Source organism: Homo sapiens, chromosome 2, assembly GCF_000001405.40.
Source record: "Homo sapiens chromosome 2, GRCh38.p14 Primary Assembly".
NCBI lineage: Eukaryota > Metazoa > Chordata > Mammalia > Primates > Hominidae > Homo > Homo sapiens.
In genome coordinates this window covers 28,247,576-28,268,037 of record NC_000002.12, presented here as the reverse complement: position 1 = coordinate 28,268,037, position 20,462 = coordinate 28,247,576, and the positions used below count along the sequence as shown (strand labels likewise).

Below are 20,462 nucleotides of genomic sequence, written 5' to 3'. Positions count from 1 at the left end.
TAGGGTTCTAAGATTTCGTCTTTATTGTGTATAGATACAGTTTGTCATTTTCACAGTTGTATAATAATGTAAATTTGACACTATTTATCCATTCCTCTGTCAGTGAACATTTGGGTTTTTGGGTTTCTTCTAGTTTCAACTACAACTAGAGATACTGCCATGATTATTCTTGAACATGTGCTCATCAACAATTTTTCCTTTTTCTCCTAGGCATACCCAAACAAATTTCCCAGCCTTCCTGCAGTGAGGTGGAGCCAAATGACTAAATTCTGTGTGTTGGAGAGATAAATGCCACTTCTGGGCCTGACCCCTATGGCCCCTGCCATGCTGGCCTGAAGAAGAGGGTGCAGTGGAGGATGCTGAGGCCATAGGGAATGGTGGAGCCATTAGACAGAGAAGCTGGTCCCAGAACTTCTGCAAGAAGCAGAGTCCTCCTTTCATCCATAATGACCACCACTGAATTGACAGCACAGGAAATAAAACGTTACTGTGTTAGCCACAGAGACTGGGGGTTGCTTGTTATAGGTGTTAGACTTTCCTGATAAAACCACCATTTCAAAATACATTAAAAGTGTGTGTGTGTGTGTGTGTGTGTGTGTATGTGTGTGTGTGTCTAGTCAGTGTAAATGAAGCAACAGCTGGGCCTGGGGGTGGGCTCTGCCTCCTGCATTTATGGGGGAGTGAGGGACTTGTGGAGATAAAAGCACCAGGAGGGATCCTCCTAGTGGAGTTGTTCTGCCTCTTGATTGTGTCAATGTCAGTATCCTATCCTGGTTGTTGATATTGTACTACAGTTGTTCAAGATGATACCACTGGGAGAAAGTGGGTGAAGGGTACATAGGATCTTTGTATTCTTTCTTTCTTTCTTTCCTTCTTTTTTGGAGACAGAGTTTCACTCTTGTCACCCAGGCTGGAGTGCAGTGGCACAATCTAGGCTCACTGCAACCTCCGCCTCCCAGGTTCAAGCAATTCTCCTGCCTTAGCCTCCCACGTAGCTGGGATTACAGGTGCCTGTCACCACACCCAGCTAATTTTTGTATTTTTAGTAGAAATGGGCTTTCACCATGTTGATCAGGCTGGTCTCGAATTCCTGATCTCAGCTGATCCACACGCCTTGGCCTCCCAAAATGCTGGGATTACAGGCGTGAGCCACTGCACCCAGCCTTTTGTACTATTTCTTACACCTACATGTGAATCCACAATTATCCCAAAATAAAAAGTTTTAACAACCATGAAAGACTTATATGGTAAATATGGAGAAGTATTAACAAAACTATGGAAGGCAGTTCCTCCTTTGTTTTTGGAAAACAGAAATAAAGTGGCATCAGGTACAGAGGACAGTCCTTAGACCCAGGCGTGTGACAATGCCAACCTTTTACCCTTGGTTTCCTTACCTTAAAAACAAGGACAATACCTGTCCTACCAACTTCATGGGGCTTGGGGAAGATCAAATTAAATAAGATGATAAATGGGAAAGTACTTTGAAATACTATAAGATCTTATCACTAACAATGAAGAGACATTTCTAATAACACTTTGGGAATGACAGAGGATACTATCAATCCACTTACATTTATGAATGAAGAAGAGCTGCAAAGCTGCAGGTGCTGAGCCTTTGAATTAACTCAGTGACCAAGATGGAGGGGAGGTTAAGAACTGCACATCCATGGCAATAAAATATCAAAAGCACTTGCTGCAGGTGCAGATAAGGTATGTAATATGCTACTTTTCAAGTCAGAAAGAAGAAAGGTGGCTGGGTACGGTGGCTCATGCTTGTAATCCCAACACTTTGGGAGGTCCAGGCAAGCAGATAATCTGAGGTCAGGTGTTTAAGGCCAGCCTGGCCAACATGGCGAAACCTCGTCTCTACTAAAAATACAAAAAACTTAGCCGAGCGTGGTGGTGTGTGCCTGTAATCCCAGTTACTTGGGAGGCTGAGGCATGAGAATCACTTGAATCCAGGAGGTGGAGGTTGCAGTGGGCCAAGATAGTGCCATTGCTCTCCAGCCTGGGCAACATAGTGAGTCCCCATCTCAAAAAAAAAAAGAAGAAAACTAAGAATATGTACTTATATTTATTTTATTTACATAAAGAAACTCTGAAAGGCCTAATTAAAAAAACTAACACAAGTGACGAGAAGAACAAGCCAGACTGGGAACAGGTGGGGATGGGACTTTGCCTATTGTGTATTTAAAAAATTAGGTGAATATATTGCAGATTCAAACAATAAAATTAAAAAATTGTTAAAGGTACATTCTTAGAGAGAGTCCCTATGTTTTGTATGTGGGGTGGGGAGGGGCAACTACTTTTTGTTTTTCTCAAAGGCTTAGTTCCAAGAGTAGGGAAGTTAGCTGAGTGTTATCACTAGAGTGTACGTGTGTCGTGTGTGTGTGTGCACATATGTGCATGCATGTGTATGAATAGGACTGTACATGCTGGAGAATTCTGGTCAAGCCCTACCTCTTTCCCATCCCCCAAAGCTGGCAATACCCAGGAGTCATGGAGAGGGGACTACTGGAGCAGCTACCCGCTTTTCAGTTTTCTGACCCTTAGGCCATTTTGTTTAAGAACACCAATTGATTTAATTGTGTCCTATTTATTTATTTATTTTGAGACAGAGTCTCGCTCTGTCACCTAGGCTGGAGTGCAATGGCCTGATCTCAGCTCACTACAACCTCCACCTCCCGTGTTCAAGTGATTCTCCTGCCTCAGCTGCCTGAGTAGCTGGGATTACAGGCGTGCGCCACCATGCCCAGCTAATTTTTGTAGAGACGGGGTTTTGCCATGTTGGCCAGGCTGGTCTTGAACTCCTGACCTCAGGTGATCCTCCGCCTCGGCCTCCCAAAGTGCTGGGATTACAGACATGAGCCACCGCGCCCGGCCTAATTGTGTCTTATATAGGGAGACTGAGGCTGATCTAACACACTTTATAGGGCAAAACAAGACCAGAATTAGAAGCCACAGTCCTTACTCCCACTCCTTCCCTGTGCCCACTGGTCAGTACACCCTTGGGTCAAATGTGGATTGAAAAACTAATGCTATCTCTGAGTAGCAAAGTTAAGTCTGGGTTGTTTCAAATGACTTTCTAGTTGTTAAAACAATCAAACTTGAAAAGCTGAAATCAAGAAGCAATTCTTTCAGATTGTGTTGGTTTTCTGAAGCCCCCATGACCTCTGGAATAATGAAAACAATGAATGATGTTGGGGTAAACTGTCTTTGAACGTTAGCATGTAAAGTCTTTGTGTTTACTCTCTGTGGAGTCCACTGAGTCTGCAATCTTGGGCTGTTCACCTCCCAGAAAAATGGGTCTTTTGAAGTATTTTGTCCCCTTGGTTAGAGGCCAACTCAGCATGTTTTCATCTTCTTGTAAATACAGTGTTCAAGCACCATCCCATCCAAATGGGCTCTACCTTCTCATTGACTGGTTGTGGTGGAACAGTATGAACTGACGGTTTTGGCCCACTCCATTCTTCCAACATAAAACAAAGACTATGCCATTTGGAGATGCTTTTGTTGCGACCACAATTCATTTCTGAGGTCTCAATCAAACAAAAGCTCAAGGATAAACTTTGCAAATTCTTTTTAATTTGCCTGACATAGGAGACAGTTTATAATACAGATGAGGTTTCCAAGCATATAGCCAAATAAAAAATGAGAAATATTAGCTTAGCCAAAGAGTTTTTTTTCTTTTTTCAATACAGGGAATCTGTGTATATAAGACTGTGAGTTCCTCTAGAAAAGGAATGTCCCATTCAGTCCTATATCTTTAGTATCCAGTATGGTATCTGGCATAAAGAACATGCTTACATTCAGCTCTTACCTGGGAGTATAAAAAAGGCAAACCCCATCTCTACAAATGTTAAGTCCTATAAACTAGATAAGATTCCATGTTTAACCTGAAAGCCTAGCTGGAAAGACTAGTATGGAACTAAACTTGTATCTTTATTGGAAAACAAAGCTGAAACGAGACAATGGTTTAGAGCAAAAATTGATGGGTGGTTGGCATTTAAAAATTTGAATGTAATTGCTAGTTCTCTGGCCTCAATCACACTGACGGATTCCTTTTGGCAATTATCTTCACTAGGCTTGCCTGTATGCAAAGTTTCTCATTACTGGCAGGTACTGTGGTTTCCCTGGAGACGGGGGAATTGTTAATCCACCTTTTCAACACTGGGAGAGTTCAAAAGACTCATAGTACAAAGAGAAAGTTCCACAGTTGGGAGCATCAGAGGTAACACTGGGGAGCCCCGTAGCACCTCATTTGCAGAAAGTAACTAGAAATTAGGATCCCTACCCACCACGTGCTCTGAGGTTGGAATTCTGACCATAGACATGTGTAGGGTCTGGTAGATGTTACAGAAGAGACAGTACAGTTGTACTGTGCTCCCCAACTCCTTTCAAATCATGGCACTTACCCAGAAAATGGTACTATTTTATGGCACTCGAGGAAAATGGGTAAGGCTGGCAGAGGTCACTCACTGTGGGCTGCGGCTCCCCCAAGGACTGAAGAGGTCAGTAGCCTATCTGTAACCTATCCCTAACCCATCAGTGTGCCCCAGCACATGGATTGGGAAGCTTTAGTAAACTGCTAGGAACAAGAGATCTGGAATCAGATGGTCTTGGTTCAAATGCTCTGTCCTTCAGCTACTAGCTATGGGACTTCTGGCAAGTTACACTATCTGGAGGTGCTTTTTGTAAAATGGGGATAATAAGTAGCCCAACCTCACAGGGCTGTTGAGAGAATTATATGGAATTATTGTAAAGTATTTAGCACAGTACTTTGCATATAGTGAATACTCAATAAATTATATTATTTATGCATAACAATGGTATTATTATTAATAATAATAATCCCCTCCCCTCTCCTCCTCTCCTTCCTTTCTTTTCTTCTTTTTTTTTTTTTTTTGAGACAGTGTCTTGCTGTTACCTCAAATAAGTGGAATCATACCATATTTTTTCTTTCGAGAGATAAATTGCTTCACCTTTCATCTACTGGAAGGCAAGGGTTCAAGTTTAGCCACAAGTCATTCTCAGTTTAGAAGTTACTGCCCAAAGCCTCTTTCAGTACATCCTAGGTCGGGCCATCTCAGGAATTTGGATCACCTCTTTGGGAGGAAAAGTGTATCAACAAGGTTTCGAGTTCCAAGCCACTTCCTGTCCAGTGTGACATGTGACTGGACAAAAGAGTTCAGCCAGGCCAAAGAGTTCAGCATCATCTGGACTGGGGACAACCAGCAGTTTGCAGGTTGGAATGGACTCTAGGTTAAGCTGGTGAGAGCCTCCACCACACCTTTGTTCTATGTGAATGTTCTCTCATTTATTCTTTAACTGGATGTCCACAGGCTCCTAAAACTCATTATATCCCTAACGGAGCTCAACATCTCCAACTCTGTTCCTCCTAAAGTAAACCTTGCCTAAGATGATGGCATCATCAGCTACCTAGATGCCTAAAAAAGAAACCTGGGAATCATCCTATTTCTTCTCTGTCCCTCATCTTCTACTTGGGATCAATCACAGTTTTTCCAGTTCTACTTCCAATATGTTTCTTAAACATTTTTCTTCCCCTCTATCCCTACTATGACTCCTCTAGTTCAGGTCTAATCTTTTGCCTGGACTGTCTTTTTAGGTCCCTGGTCTCCATCCCAAATCATCTTTTACATAATACCTGAAAAGTGTATTCTTATAAAAGCAAATATATGCCACTTTTCTACTGAGCACTCTTCAATAACTCCTTGCTATCCTTAGGATAAAGTCACATTTGTCAGCCTCCTAGGCAACGTTATATCTGTGTTCTGCCCTCTGACTGCCTCTTTAGCTTAATCTCTTACTACTTCTTGGGATCCTCTAAACATTTAGGAGACTGGAAACCACTTTCAGTTCCTCACCTCCACTCTAAGATTTCTTCCCTCTGTGCCTTTGTTTACACCAGGCTCTCAGCTTGGAATGATCTTATGGCCCTCCTCCCTTACTGTGTTGGGTGACGCTTCACTGTATTCTCGTAACATCTGGTGTATGCCTAGAAATGCACTTTAAGTAATATTTCTTTGTTATTTTCATATGTTCATTTTCCCCACTAGATTGTGAGCTATTTCAGACAAGGTATCATTCATTCTGGTATCCCTGAGTCTTGACAGTACCGGAACCAAAGCAGGTCCTCAAATACATGATGACCGAAGGGATAAATCAATATATAAATGAATAAAGTATTGCATAGGTCAGGTCTGGAGGCCACTGGAAGGGAGGGAAGGGAAGGGGAGGGGAGGGGAGGGGAAAGGAGGAGAGGGGAGGGGAGAGAAAGGAAGGGAAGAAGGAAGGAAGGACAAAACTCACACTGGAAAGGAAAAAGTAAAACTGTCATCTGCAGATGACATGATCATATACATAAAAATTCTAAGTAATTGGCCGGGCGCGGTGGCTCACGCCTGTAATCCCAGCACTTTGGGAGGCCAAGGTGGGCAGATCATAAGATCAGGAGATCGACACCATCCTGGCTAACAGGGTGAAATGAAACACTGTCTCTACTAAAAATACAAAAAAAAAATTAACCGGGTGTGGTGGCGGGCGCCTGTAGTCCCAGCTACTCGGGAGGCTGAGGCAGGAGAATGCCATGAACCCGGGAGGTGGAGCTTGCAGTAAGCCAAGATCCTCGTGCCACTGCACTCCAGCCTGGGCGACAGAGCAAGACTCCGCCTCAAAAAAAAAAAAAAAATTCTAAGTAATTTACTAAAGGTCAATACACAAAATCAATTATATTTCTATATATTAACAATTAGCAATTTGAAAATGAAAATTTTTAGTCTGGGTGCAGTGGCTCATGCCCGTAATCCCAGCACTTTAAGAGACTGAGGTGGGTGGATCACTTGAGGTCAGGAGTTTGAGACCAGTCTGACCATTATGGTGAAACCCTGTCTCTACTAAAAATACAAAAATTGGCTGGGTATGGTGGTGTGTGCCTGTAATACCAGGTATTTGGGAGGCTGAGGCAGGAGAATCGCTTGAATCTAGGAGGTGGAGGTTGAAGTGAGCCAAGATTGTGCCACTGCACTCCAGCCTGGGTAATAGAGTGAGACGTCATCTCAAAAAAAAAAAAAAAAAAGAAAGAAAATGAAAAATTTTGAAAACTTCATTCACGATAGCTTAAAAATATACTTAGAAATTAATTTAACAAAAGATGTGCAAGACTTGTATATTGAAAACTACAAAACATTGCTATGGGAAATGAAAGATTGAAATAAATGAAAACATATACCATGTTCATGAAAGGGAAAATGCAATTATTTCCAAGATGGCAATTCTCCTCAAATTGAGGTACAGTAGATTCAATGCAATCCCAATCATGCTTTTTGTGAAGAAACTGACAAGCTGATTCTAGAACGCACAGGGAAAGGCAAAGGATGTAAAAGACTAAATGATTTTGAATACAGAAATACAAAGTTGGCTGGATGCGCTGCCTCACGCCTGTAATTCCAGCACTTTGGGAGGCCGAGGTGGGTGGATCACCTGAGGTTAGGAGTTCAAGACTAGCCTGGCTAACACGGCAAAACCCTGTCTCTACTAAAAATACAAAAATTAGCCGGGCGTGGTGGTAGGCACCTGTAATCCCAGCTACTCAGGAGGCTAACGCAGGAGAATCACCTGAACCCGGGAGGCAGAGGTTGCAGTGAACCAAGATTGTGCCACTGCACTCCAACCTGGATGATAGAGCAAGACTCCATGTCAAAAAAAAAAAAAAAAAAAAGAAAAGAAATACAAAGTTAAAAAACTTATACTACACGATTTCAAGACCTACTTAAAGGGAAAGCACAGACACACAGATCAATGGAACAGAGTAAGAATTCAGAAGGCTGGGTGTGGTGGCTCACGCCTGTAATCTCAGCACTTTGGGAGGCCGAGGCGGGTGGATCATGAGGTAAGGAGATTGAGATCATCCTGGCAATGGTGAAACCCCGTCTCTACTAAAAATACAAAAATTAGCCAGGCATGGTGGCATGTGCCTGTAATCCCAGCTACTTGAGAGGCTGAGGCAGAGGAATTACTTGAATACGGGAAGAAGAGGTTGCAGTGAGCCGAGATCGTGCCACTGCACTCCAGCCTGGGCGACAAAAGCGAGACTCCATCTCAAAAAAAAAAAAGAATTCAGAAGTAGATTTACACTTATATGGTCAACTGACTTTTGAGAAAGGTGCTAAGGTAATTTAATGGGGAAAGACTAGACTTTTCAACAAACTGGATATTAGTACAGAAAAAAAAAACCATGTCCCTTACCTTATACCATACACAAAATTAACTTGAAGTGGAACACAGACCTACATTTTAGAGCTAAAACTAGAAACTTTCTAAAAGAAAACATTTTTAAAATTATTTGTGAACTCGGTTAGGCAAGAATTTTTTAAGCAGGACATAAAAAGCATGGCTCATAAAATTTAAAAATGATAAAATTGACTTCATCAGAATTAAAATTTTTTGCTCTATGAAAGACACAATTAAATATTCTCAACCAATATTTGCAGAACACGGAACTGACAAAGGGTTTGTATCCCAATGTATAAAAAACTCAACTCAAAAGTAAGAACATAACAGCCCAATTAAAAACAAGAAAAACTGCCTGGGCAGCATAGCAAGACCTCATCTCTACAAAACATAATAAACTAGCCGGCTAGGTGCGGTAGCTTACCTGTGATCCCAGCACTTTGGGAGGCCGAGGTGGGTGGATTATGAGGTCAGGAGATGGAGACCATCCTGGCCAACATGGTGAAACTCTGTCTCTACCAAAAATACAAAAATTAGCTGGGTGTGGTGGCGTGTGCCTGTAGTCCCAGCTACTTGGGAGGCTGAGGCAGGCGAATTGCTTGAACCTGGGAGGTGGAGATTGCTGTGAGCCCAGATCGCACCACTACACTCCAGCCTGGCAACAGAGCAAGACTCAGTCTGAAAAAAAAAAAAAAAAAAAAAAAAAAAAAAAAGGCCAGGTGCAGTGGCTGAAGCCTGTAATCCTAGCACTTTGGGAGGCCAAGGTGGGTGGATCATGAGGACAAGAGATCGAGACCATCCTGGCCAACATGGTGAAACCCTGTCTCTACCAAAAATACAAAAATTAGCTGGGGGTGGTGGCGTGTGCCTGTAGTCCCAGCTACTCGGGAGGCTGAGGCAGGAGAACTGCTTGAACCTGGGAGATGGAGGTTGCAGTGAGCCGAGATCGCACCACTGCACTCCAGCCTGGGTGACAGAGTGAGACTCCATCTCAAAAAGAAAAAAAAATTAGCCAGGCATGGCGGTGCATGCTTGCAGTCCCTGCTGCTCAGGAGGCTGAAGTGGGAGGAACACTTGAGCCTGGGAGGTAGAGGCTGCAATGAGCCTGATGGCGCCACTGCACTACAGCCTGGGTGACAGAGCAACATCCTGTCTCAAAAAAAAAAAAAAAAGAAAAGAAAAAAGAAAAAGACTTAAGCAGATGCTTCACAAATTAACTTACCCGAATGGCAGATAAGCATAGGAAAAGATGTTTAACATCACTAGTCATTAGGGAATTGCAAATTGAAGCCACAATAAGGTACTATTATATATCCTATAATGGCTAAACTTAAAAAGAATGACAATATCAAGAGTTGGAAAGAATGGGGAAAAATTAAACTCTCACACACTGTCAGTGAAAATGTAAAAAGTGACAGTCATTTGGAAAATAGTATGGCAGTACATTACTGAGTTAAAATACGTGCACCATAGGACCCAGCATTTCCACTTCTACGTTTTTACCCAAGAGAATTAAAAACATACGTCCATACAAAGACTTGCACTTGAATTACGTTCAAGAAGAACTATTCTTTCTTTCCTTTCCTTTTTATTTATTTATTATTTATTTTTGAGACACAGTCTCGCTCTGCTGCCCAGGCTGGAGTGCAGTGGTGCGATCTCAGCTCACAGCAACCTCCACCTCCTGGGTTCAAGCGTTTCTCCTGCCTCAGCCTCCCAAGTAGGTGGGATTACAAGTGCCTGCTGCCATGCCAGACTAATTTTTGTATTTTTAGTAGAGATGGGGTTTCACCATGTTGGCTAGGCTGGTCTCGAATTCCTGACCTCAAGTGATCTGCCCGCATCAGCCTCCCAAAGTGCTGGGATTGCAGGCGTGAGCCACCACGCCCGGCTTCTTTTCTTTCTTTTTTCTTTTTACTCTGTAACCCAGGCTGGAGTGCAGAGGTATGAACATGGCTTACTGCAGCCCTGACCTCCTGAGCTCAACCAATCCTCCCACTTCAGCCTTCTGAGTAGCTGAGACTACAGGTGCATGTCACCACACTGGGCTAATTTTTAAATTTTTTTGTAGAGAAAGGGTCTTGCAATGTTGCTCAGGCTGGTCTTGAACTCCTGGCCTCAAGTAATCCTCCCACCTCAGCTTCCCAAAGCACTGGGATTACAGGCCTGAGCCACCGAGTCTGGCCTAGCATTATTCTTAATAACTAAAACTTGGAAACAAATAAATGTTCAGCATCTGGTAAATGCATAAACAATGGAATGAAAAAATGAAATACTACTCAGCAATAAATAAGAACAAAACATTGACACACACAACACCATGGATGGATCTCAAAAACGTTATGCTAAGTAAAAGAAATCGAAAACAAAACAGAATCAACTAGAGAAACAGAAAGTGGTCGGTGGCTACCTGGGGCTGGAAGTCAGGGGAGGAGACCAACTGCAAAGGCTTACAAGGACACTTTTTAACATAATAGAAAATGTTGTTTGTCTTGATGGTGGGGCTAGATCTATGCCTGTATGTGGTTGCCAAAATTTAAGTGTTCACTTAAAATGGTGAATTTTACTATATGTAAATTATACCTCAAAAAAGATGGGAAAATGTACTCTATGAACTCATGAAAGCTGAATCTGTGCAGTTGCTGAGTATACAATATGCAAATGGAAAAGTCATTATACCTCAAATCAGGGCATTATTTTCTGTTATTTTCCTTATGCTAAACATCAGGCCAGTACTGAGATGCCAACAGTACAATACTGGACATGTATTGCTGTAAAGTACTTACCTGTCCAGGCCGGGCGTGGTGTCTCATGCCTGTAATCCCAGCACTTTGGGAGGCCGAGGTGGGTGGATCACCTGAGGTCAGGATTTCGAGACCAGCCTGACCAACATGGTGAAACCCCATCTCTACCAAAAATACAAAAATTAGCCAGGTGTGTTGCTGTGCGCCTGTAATCCCAGCTATTTGGGAGGCTGAGGCAGGAGAATCGCTTGAGCCCAGGAGACAGAGGCTGCAGTGAGCTGAGATCGTGCCATTGCACTCCAGCCTGGGTGACAGAGCGAGACTCCATCTCAAAAAAAAAAAAAAAAAAAGAAGTGAGCCATCCAAACATATGAAAAATACTTAATTGAATTTTAAGGAATTTCGTTTCTAGTCCTATTCTTCCACTAATATCATGCATGACCTTGGGCCAGGTACTCAGCCAATACCTCAGTAAATGATAAGAGTTTTCAGAGATTCTCAATCTGAGGTCCATGCATCTCTCCTCATTGCCCCTGAAAGCGTCCTTGGATTCAGGGCATCTGGGAATTTGGATGGGAAAATGTGTATCTTTACGCATTTTCTTTACATAAATGTGTATCTTTGTTTTTACAACCTTTAACTGAAATTTAGCATTTCCTTCTATTATGAATATAGGCAACAATCTGCAGTGGCTTTAGCAGTAATAACTTTGGTACTAATAGAAATCACAGGTATTTTTATATCAAATTGTAAGTGTTGCCCATATCTCAAAATATTATTTACATTTATCACTATTTCAAAATTATGGTGGTTATTAGATATGCTACTGGATATTACTATTTAATGTGTTAACAAAGAAGCTATGTATCTGCTAAAGAAATGATATATCTGATTATAGATACATCTCTATATCATAACTTTTTAAAGATTTGATAACAGGTTCCACATAATCAGTTTCCTTTTTAGCACAGTATATTTTATTTTACGCAAAATACACTGTTCTACAGAATGGATCCACGGAATTCACCAAAGGAATCTTTGGCACAAAAAAAAACACCTGTTAAAAACTTCTGAGCTAGGCCAGGCGTGGTGGCACACACCTGTAATCTCAGCACTTTGGGAGGCTATGGTGGGCGGATCACTTCAGCTCAGAAATTTAAGACCAGCCTGGGGAACATGGTGAAACTCTGTCTCCACAAAAAATACAAAAATTAGCTGAGTGTGGTGGTGTACACCTGTAATGCCAGCTACTCTGGAGGCTGAGGTGGGAGGATTACTTGGGCCTGGGAGGCTGAGGCTACAGTGAGCCAAGATCACACCACTACACTCCAGCCTGGGTGAGCGAGTGAGACCATGTCTCAAAAATATAAAAACAAACAAACAAACAAAAACTTCTAAGTTAGATGGCCTCTAACTGTTCATTCTAGTGCTAAGAATTCTATTAAAAACTAGCATTAAGACTGGATGGCAGCTGGGTGCTGTGGCTTATGCCTGTAATCCCAGCACTTTGGCAGGCCAAGGTGGGTGGATCACTTGAGGTCAGGAGTTCAAGACCAGCTTGGCCAGCATGGTGAAACCCCCATCTCTGCTAAAAATACAAAAATTAGCCGGGCATGACGGTGCATGTCTGTAATCCCAGCTACTTGGGAGGCTGAGTCAGGAGAATCGCTTGAACCTGGAAGGCTGAAGTTGCAGTGAGCTGAGATTGCACCACTGCACTCCAGCCTGGGCAACAAAGTGAGACTCCATCTTAAAAAAAAGACGGAATGGCTCAGATTCTAAATGAAATAACTAAAAACACTTTTTCTCCTATTTTCTAAAGAAAGGCTTTCAAGATTCACGGATTCTTACTTGTTCGGATCCTGATTTGAACAAAGCAAGTGCTAAAAAAAACCCACGTTTGAGACAAATGGGGAAATCTGAACACAAACTGGGTATTAGGTGATATTAATTAATTAGATGTCATAATACTATCGTCAATATATCTTTTTAAAAAATCCTTATCTGGGCTGGGTGCAGTGGCTCATGCCTGCAATCCCAGGACTTTGGGAAGCTGAGGTGGGAGGTTCACTAGAGGCCAGAAGTTTGAGACAAGCCTGGGCAACATAGTGAGACTCTGTCTTTATGGAAAAATTTTTAAAAAATTAGCTGGCATGGTGGTGTGTGTCTATAGTCCCAGCTACTCTGGAGGCTGAGGTGGGAGGGTCCCTTGAGTCCAGGAGTTTGAGGCTGCAATGAGCTAGATGATCACTCTACTGCACGTTGGCCTGGTCTACAGAGCAAGACCCTGTCTCAAAAAAAAAAAAAAAAAAAAATTGAAAAAAAATCCTTATCTGTTAGAGATACATAGTGAGGTATTTATAGGTAAAACAACATTTCCCTTGCATCAAAATATTCAGGAAATTAAAAAGGAGGCAGGATAGAAGAAACAAGGTATTCAAACTGCGATATGGGTGATAGCGGTTCACTATATTTTTCTTTCTACTTTCACGTTTGCTTGAAATTTCTACAATAATTTTTTTTTTTTTAATTAACAGGTTCTCAGGACAGATCCAACCCACAGAAATGTCTGGATTTATTCAGTTAAAAAAAACAACAATGGGCTGGGCATGGGCGTGGCGGCTCATGCCTGTAATCCCAGCACTTTGGGAGATCGAGGCGGGAGGATCACCTGAGGTCAGGAGTTCGAGACCAGCCTGGCCAACATAGTCAAACACCGTATCTACAAAAAATACAAAAATTATTTGGTCATGGTGGCACATGCCTGTAGTCCCAGATACTTGGGAGGCTGGGGCAGGAGAATTGCTTGAACCTGGGCAGCAGGGCTGGAATGAGCCGAGATCAACAATGAAGAGGATAGAAAGGAGTGTGCAGTTTGCCACAGTTCCTACTCCTCCAACCGTCTTAGAACCTGGGCTACTCCCACATCTAAATCACCTCTTTCTCAGGAGGCATTTGACCTTGTAGGTTAACATGAACTTTGTATGACAAACCATTATAACTGACCACATTCACTATGTCTAAACAGGTTAAATCACGTTTTTGGTAATCAGTAGCTCTTTCATTCCTTAATAAGCTGCTTAGTTTTGTTCTTTCAATGGCCAAAAATGAATCCCTACCTTGAGCCAGTAGTTTGTGCCACAGGACAGGGGATTATAAGTGAACAACCTGTCACCTCCACTGAGGAACAACTCCAGCTTAATGCCCCGTTGTCTTCAGAACAGTAATGTCTCTGCTGAGACATCCACTCCATTCCTGAGAGATGAGATAGTCTCCATATCTCTCTGACCTGTGCATGGCTGCAGACACTGACCCTCTGCTCTTGTTCTTGGGGCTTACAGGGTTTCCGTGAAGCTCTAAAGGCTTTTGAAATTTATCACACATACCTGGGGATACTGTCAAACAATTATCTGAAACAGCAGAGTAATGTAGTTTAGCACATGGGATCTAGAGTCTATTCCTGGATTTAAACACTAGCTCTGTCATTTAATCTTGCTGTGCCAGTTTTGTTATTTGTAAAATGGGTTATTCTGGTAATTAACCTCAGAAAGATGTTCTGCAGATTAAATAACATAACATATGCAAAGTACTGAGAACAGTGTCTAGAGCATGGTATACACTCCATACTTTTTTTTTTTTTTTGAGACAAAGTCTTGCTCTGTCACACAGGCCTGAGTACAGTGGTGCCATCTTGGCTCACTGCAACCTCCACTTCCTGGGTTCAAGCAATTCTCATGCCTCAACCTCCTGAGTAGCTGGGATTACAGGCGCATGCCACCACACCTGGCTAATTTTCTTTTTTTTTTAGTAGAGGCAGGGTTTCACCATGTTGGCCAAGTCTTGAACTCCTGACCTCAGGTGATCCATCCGCTTTGGCCACCCAAAGTGCTAGGATTACGGGCATGAGCCACCGCACTCAGCCTTCACTCCATACCTGTGAACTGTTATTGCTATTATTTTCAACAACAGCAGAAGCTCTGCACCAAAACATAATAATGCCCATGCTTCACCAATGTCAACAGTACTTTAATATTAATTCTAAGAAAAGGTTATACTGAACTACATCAATAACATAAGAGTTACTCTGTAAACAGCTTCCTTTCTTTCACTGGGTAAGATGACTTCTTGAGTTACAGTTGTTAATTTGACAGCATGTCAAAAATCACTGAGAAGTCAAAATTGCTAATTTTTCAAGACCTTTCTTTGATCAGAAACACTTGCTTTGGCAATTACTTAATCCAATAATTACAACTGAAAAGATTCATACAACATATATAAGAGGGTACAGGGGAAAAATTCATTGCATGATTGTGCAAGTGATTTACAACCTTCTTCCTTAAAAGAAATCCTTTAAGGTCACTAAAAAGGGGTCATGTAATTCTAAGGTATTATAATGAAGACAATATTCCCAGTGAAGATTAATCCAGTAAGTTCTCAAACTAGTGTCAGAAATTACAAAACAGGCTTTCTGGAAGTAAACTCTAAAGATGAAACAGAAGTTTCAATTTGAGTCAAAATAGTGACAGTGGTTGCTGAAGGACTGGAGCTCTCTGAACTGTAAACCGGGCGAAGGGTGTGCTTGTGTGTATAATCAAAAGATGAAAACCACTTTGCCTAGTAGAGCTAACCACTTTCAAGGAAGTCTCAGTATAAAAATTAACCAAAATGTAAAAGTATCTAAAGGACTCAGTAGTTCCCATAATTAAAGCAAAAAGGCATTTAGTAAATTTTCTTTTATCTTTTTCCATATTCTTTTATCATTCGGAACAATATTAGAGAACTGACTGGTTTGATATTTTGTTGATAATTAATTTTCATTCCTGTTGCTTTGATAGTTTTTTTGCTTTTTTTTTTTTTGAGATGGAGTTTCACTCCTCTTGCCCAGGGTGGAGTGCAACGGCACGTTCTCGGCTCACTGCAACCTCCACCTCCCAGGTTCAAGCGATTCTCCTATCTCAGCCTCTCCCAAGAAGCTGAGATTACAGGTGCCACCACACTTGGCTAATTTTTGTATTTTTAGTAGAGACAGGGTTTCACCATGTTTCGGCTGATCTCGAACTCCTGACCTCAGGTGATCTACCCACCTTGGCCTCCCCAAGTGCTGGGATTACGGGCATGAGCCACTGCACCTAGCCTGATAGTTATTAATACTAGAAATGATAAAATTAAACTAAGAATCTTTATGTCTGATATGAGGTAAACATGGTAATTCTAAAATAATATTACACTTTCTATAGATTTGGCTTGAAACAAATTCTAACACATAGCATTGTGGTTCTTAATTTTAATTATTTTACTGATTCCGATTTGCTTTTCAAGTATATTCCTTTATATAAAGATGTGAACTGTATCCAAAAAAGTAAGCAGGTTTTGAGCAACATCACAGTTTTGGTTTTACCGATTTATGTAGTAGCCATCTTGTTTGTTGAGTGCTAAATATTCTACGACGAAACACTGTTTCTATAGCGGGCAGATGAAAGTCTACCTCGCTTAGCTCAGGAACTGAGTGGCTGCTACTACGACAGCTTTGTGTTTTAGTGGTGAGGTGACAGTGCGACATCAATGCAAATAATTTCCTTGGTTATACCAGGAATTGGAGAGCCTGACAAAATCAGAGCTCGGCAGAAGCATTTGTAGCAATAAACAGAAGCTTCTGATTTTTACTTAAAATTTCAAAAGCTGTCCTGATTTCTAATTTATTGGCCTTGATTACAGGCCTATAAGGAAAGAATTATTTAAATGACTACCAGAATTAGTCTGAAGTTGTTGATTTCCTCTGGCTTAAAAAAAAAAAGTCTTACCAGAAACTGTGTTCTCTGAAAAACAAAATAATTGCTTTCCTTTTACTTAATGTCAACTGAAAACCAATGAATGAACAAATGAACAAACAGATAGTTAAAGACAAATACAGAAAGAATAATACTAAGACATCTGTGTGAACATTAGTCATTTAAAATAAAGAAAAACATCAGAGTAAGAACCTTATCATTCATTAGACTGAATAAACACTGCCACCCCAGCCCCAATCCTACAGCTCTGAAATGGAGGAACACAGCAATCAAAGTCTTGCAAAGATACACTGGAAATAATGTGCAGGGCAAAATCCAAAGATAACTTTTTTTCTCTTTTAAAAACATAAGACTGTGGCTGGGCGTGGTGGCTCACGCCTGTAATCCTAGCACTTTGGGAAGCCATGGCGGGTAGATCACGAGGTCAGGAGATCAAGACCATCCTGGCTAACACGGCAAAACCCTGTCTCTACTAAAAACACAAAAAATTAGCCGGGAGTGGTGGCACATGCCTGTAATCCTAGCTACTCAGGAGGCTGAGGCAGGAGAATTGCTTGAACCTGGGAGGCGGAGGTTGCTGTGAGCTGAGATCGTGCCACTGCACTCCAGCCTGGGCGACAGAGCGAGACCCCGTCTCAAAAACAAAACAAACAAACAAACAAAAAAAAAAGAAAAAAATATATATGATTGTTTATAGTAATGACAGAAAAAGCTATATTGTTGTGTTTATATTATAACATATATACATGTAATATATATGACAATTAATAGAACAAATAAGCGGGAGGACAAGGAGCAATGTTGCTATATTTTACCAGAATGAAGGTATTATTAATCTTAAGGCAATTATGTTAAAGATGCATATTGTAATCTCTAGAATAAACCGCTAAGAAAGTAATTCAATATTAGATAGCTAAAAAAAAAAAAAAAAAAAAAGTTCAACAAATGCCCTTCCCCTTACTCACTGTGCTCCAGCCACGCCTGCTTCAGCAGAGCTCTTTGCTGCCTCAGGGCTCAGGGCTTTTGCACAGGGACTGCCTTCCCTGGAATTGCCTTCCTTGGCTGTCTGAATCACTGCTAAGGTCTCAGCGGAAATGTCACCCTCTATAGGAGGTCTTCCCTATAGAAGCATAGGGAAGACCTCACAGCATCTCCTCACAGCATCTTCCTCATCTTCCTCACAGCATCTCCTTCTTATTCTCTATTCATAGCCTTTTACTTTGTTCCATCACGCTATTTGTCACCTTTTGAATGTATATATTTGTTAAGTTTATGTCTTTATTGTCTGTTTTTCTCATTAGACTTCATTAAGAAAGACAAGAAGCTGGGTGTGGTGGCTCATGCCTGTAATCCCAACACTTTGGGAGGCTGAGGCAGGTGGATCCCTTGAGCCCGAGGTGTTTTGAGACCAGCCTGGGAAACAGCAAAACCTCGTCCCTACATAAAATTAGCTGGGCGTCATGGCGCTTATGTATAGTTCCAGCTACTTGGGAGGCTAAGGTGGGAGGATCACCTGAGCCCAGGAAGTTGAGGCTACAGTGAGCCATGATTGCACCACTGCACTCCAGTCTGGAGAGAGAGAAAGAAGACCTCCCCCAGACCAAGACATATAACATATGAGCCTCTCTCATATAACTGTGTCTTGCATAAAGTAGACAAGTCATAAAATATTTGTTTTAAAAATGCATACCATTGTACTTCACCTTGACCTAATCTTTTTTCTCATCAACTAGACAAGAAGTTGGCAAACTTCTGTGAAGGGTCAAATATTTTAGGTCTTGCAAACCATATACTGTCTCTGCTGCATATTCTTCTGCTTCTTTCTGTTTTCTAAGAATCCTTTTAAAATATAAAAGCTACCCTTAGGGCAGGGTGCAGTGGCTCACACCTATAATCCCAGCACTTTGGGAGGCCTAGGCGGGTAGATTGCTTGAGGCCAGGAGTTCAAGATCAGCCTGGGTAACGTGGTGAAACCCGGTCTCTACTAAAAATACAAAAATTAGCCGGGCATGGTGGCACATGCCTGTAGTCCCAGCTACTCGGGAGGCTGAGGCAGAAGAAACGCTTGAACTCAAGGTGGCGGAGGCTGCAGTGAGCCAAGATCACACTACCGCATTCCAGCCTGGGCAACAGAGTGAGACGCTGTTTCCAAAAAAAAAAAAAAAAACAAGCAAACAAACAAACAAAAAGCTATACTTAGCTCAAGGGCCCTATAAAAACAGGCTGACACGGGATTTGGCCCACAGGCTGTAGTTTTCTAATTTCTGTGCTATGTTACTGTAAGTATCTTAAGGTCAACTCTGAGTTATATACTTATATCCCCTAATACCTCGCATAGTACTGAGCATGCAGTAGGTTCTTAGTAAACTCAGAACTCAGTTAAGTTGGAGGTAGAGGAAAACAAGAGAAAAAAGTGGTCAGATTTGGTCTAACAGGAATTTTACCAGGGAGAAAAGGCCTACAGTCCAGGCTGAATGACTCAAAGGGTCATTTACCAAAGATTTATAGGTAATGGAAAAAGACAGCTTGTCATACAGTCACAAATCTCAATACTCAATTGTCTCCCCTTCTAAGCAGCAACTCTGCTCCTGTAGACAGCTGCCTCCTTGTGTGTCTACTTACAGTGCAGTTGACTGGGACCCACAAAAAAAGCATGTAGCTTTTCCCCAGAGGATTTTTTTTGTTCTGTTACTTCGCCTTGCTATCTGGTTCTCTTGCCACGCTGCATTCTGAAAAGCTACTAGTGGACCAGGCGCGGTGGCTCACGCCTGTAATCCCAGCACTTTGGGAAGCTGAGGCAGGTGGATCACCTGAGGTCGGGAGTTTGAGACCAGCCTGACCAACACGGAGAAACTCCGTTTCTACTAAAATTACAAAATTAGCCAGGCATGGTGGCGCATGCCTGTAATCCCAGCTACTCGAGAGGCTGAGGCAGGAGAATTGCTTGAACCTGGGAGGCAGAGGTTGCAGTGAGCCGAGATCCCGTCATTCCACTCCAACCTGGGCAACAAGAGCAAAACTCCGTCTCAAAAAAAAAAAAAAAAAAAGAAAAAGAAAATAAACAAAAGCTACTAGCTTAAAGGTAACATCTACCTCCAGAGGTAAGCATAATTTGGCAAATATGGAATTGCCTATACAACTGCTATGAATAATTCTTAGATGATGGCCAGGAAAGTTTCCTAAAAATAGTTTCTGGATGGGAGCAAGTTTCTGATCCTGCTACAGTTCCAAGATTTGAGACATGCTGAAAATGAATGATGTAAGGAAGGAATAAGTGGATGGAAATGCTCCATGGCCACAATCATGGCCACAGTCCCCACTCCTGGAACTGCCAGAATGCCAGGATGTTGCAGTACCTCCTGAGAGATCCCAGAATCTGTGCAATGCTTTTCCTTAAGGCAATCTGCTTTTTCAAAGTCTGGCAAAGTCTGAGGTCAGAGCTGTCTGTCTCAAGAAGAGTGCCTCTTTCCTCTAGCATCCAAAATGCACATAATTATTGCCAGGAGCTATCCTATCAATAGCAATTATCCTGGGCCCGAGGAGAATAGGGAGGAAGGGGAGAACAGAGATGCTATTTCATGTCCTGCTAGGTCTTCAACCTCCATGAAGTAGTAGAGGCAGCCACAGGGGAATGGCTCTATTTCCAGGCACTTCCTTCCTCCTTTTCACCTCTTGAGAT

General features: G+C 41.9%; 1 protein-coding gene across 14 annotated transcripts in view, besides 2 other annotated features; it reads right to left on the bottom strand.

The window, feature by feature from the left end:
* BABAM2 (BRISC and BRCA1 A complex member 2) overlaps positions 1–20,462 on the bottom strand; it is a 450,193-nt gene that overhangs the window by 70,864 nt on the left and 358,867 nt on the right. The gene's annotated exons all lie outside the window — the stretch shown is intronic.
* Positions 2,803–3,304: an enhancer, noted in NCBI's record as "H3K4me1 hESC enhancer chr2:28487601-28488102 (GRCh37/hg19 assembly coordinates)". NCBI's record gives its function as "activates a minimal SCP1, AML or CMV promoter by ChIP-STARR-seq in naive H9 embryonic stem cells {active_cell/tissue: H9 hESC(naive)}" and the evidence as "EXISTENCE:reporter gene assay evidence [ECO:0000049][PMID:30033119]".
* Positions 17,738–18,238: an enhancer, noted in NCBI's record as "H3K4me1 hESC enhancer chr2:28472667-28473167 (GRCh37/hg19 assembly coordinates)". NCBI's record gives its function as "activates a minimal SCP1, AML or CMV promoter by ChIP-STARR-seq in naive H9 embryonic stem cells {active_cell/tissue: H9 hESC(naive)}" and the evidence as "EXISTENCE:reporter gene assay evidence [ECO:0000049][PMID:30033119]".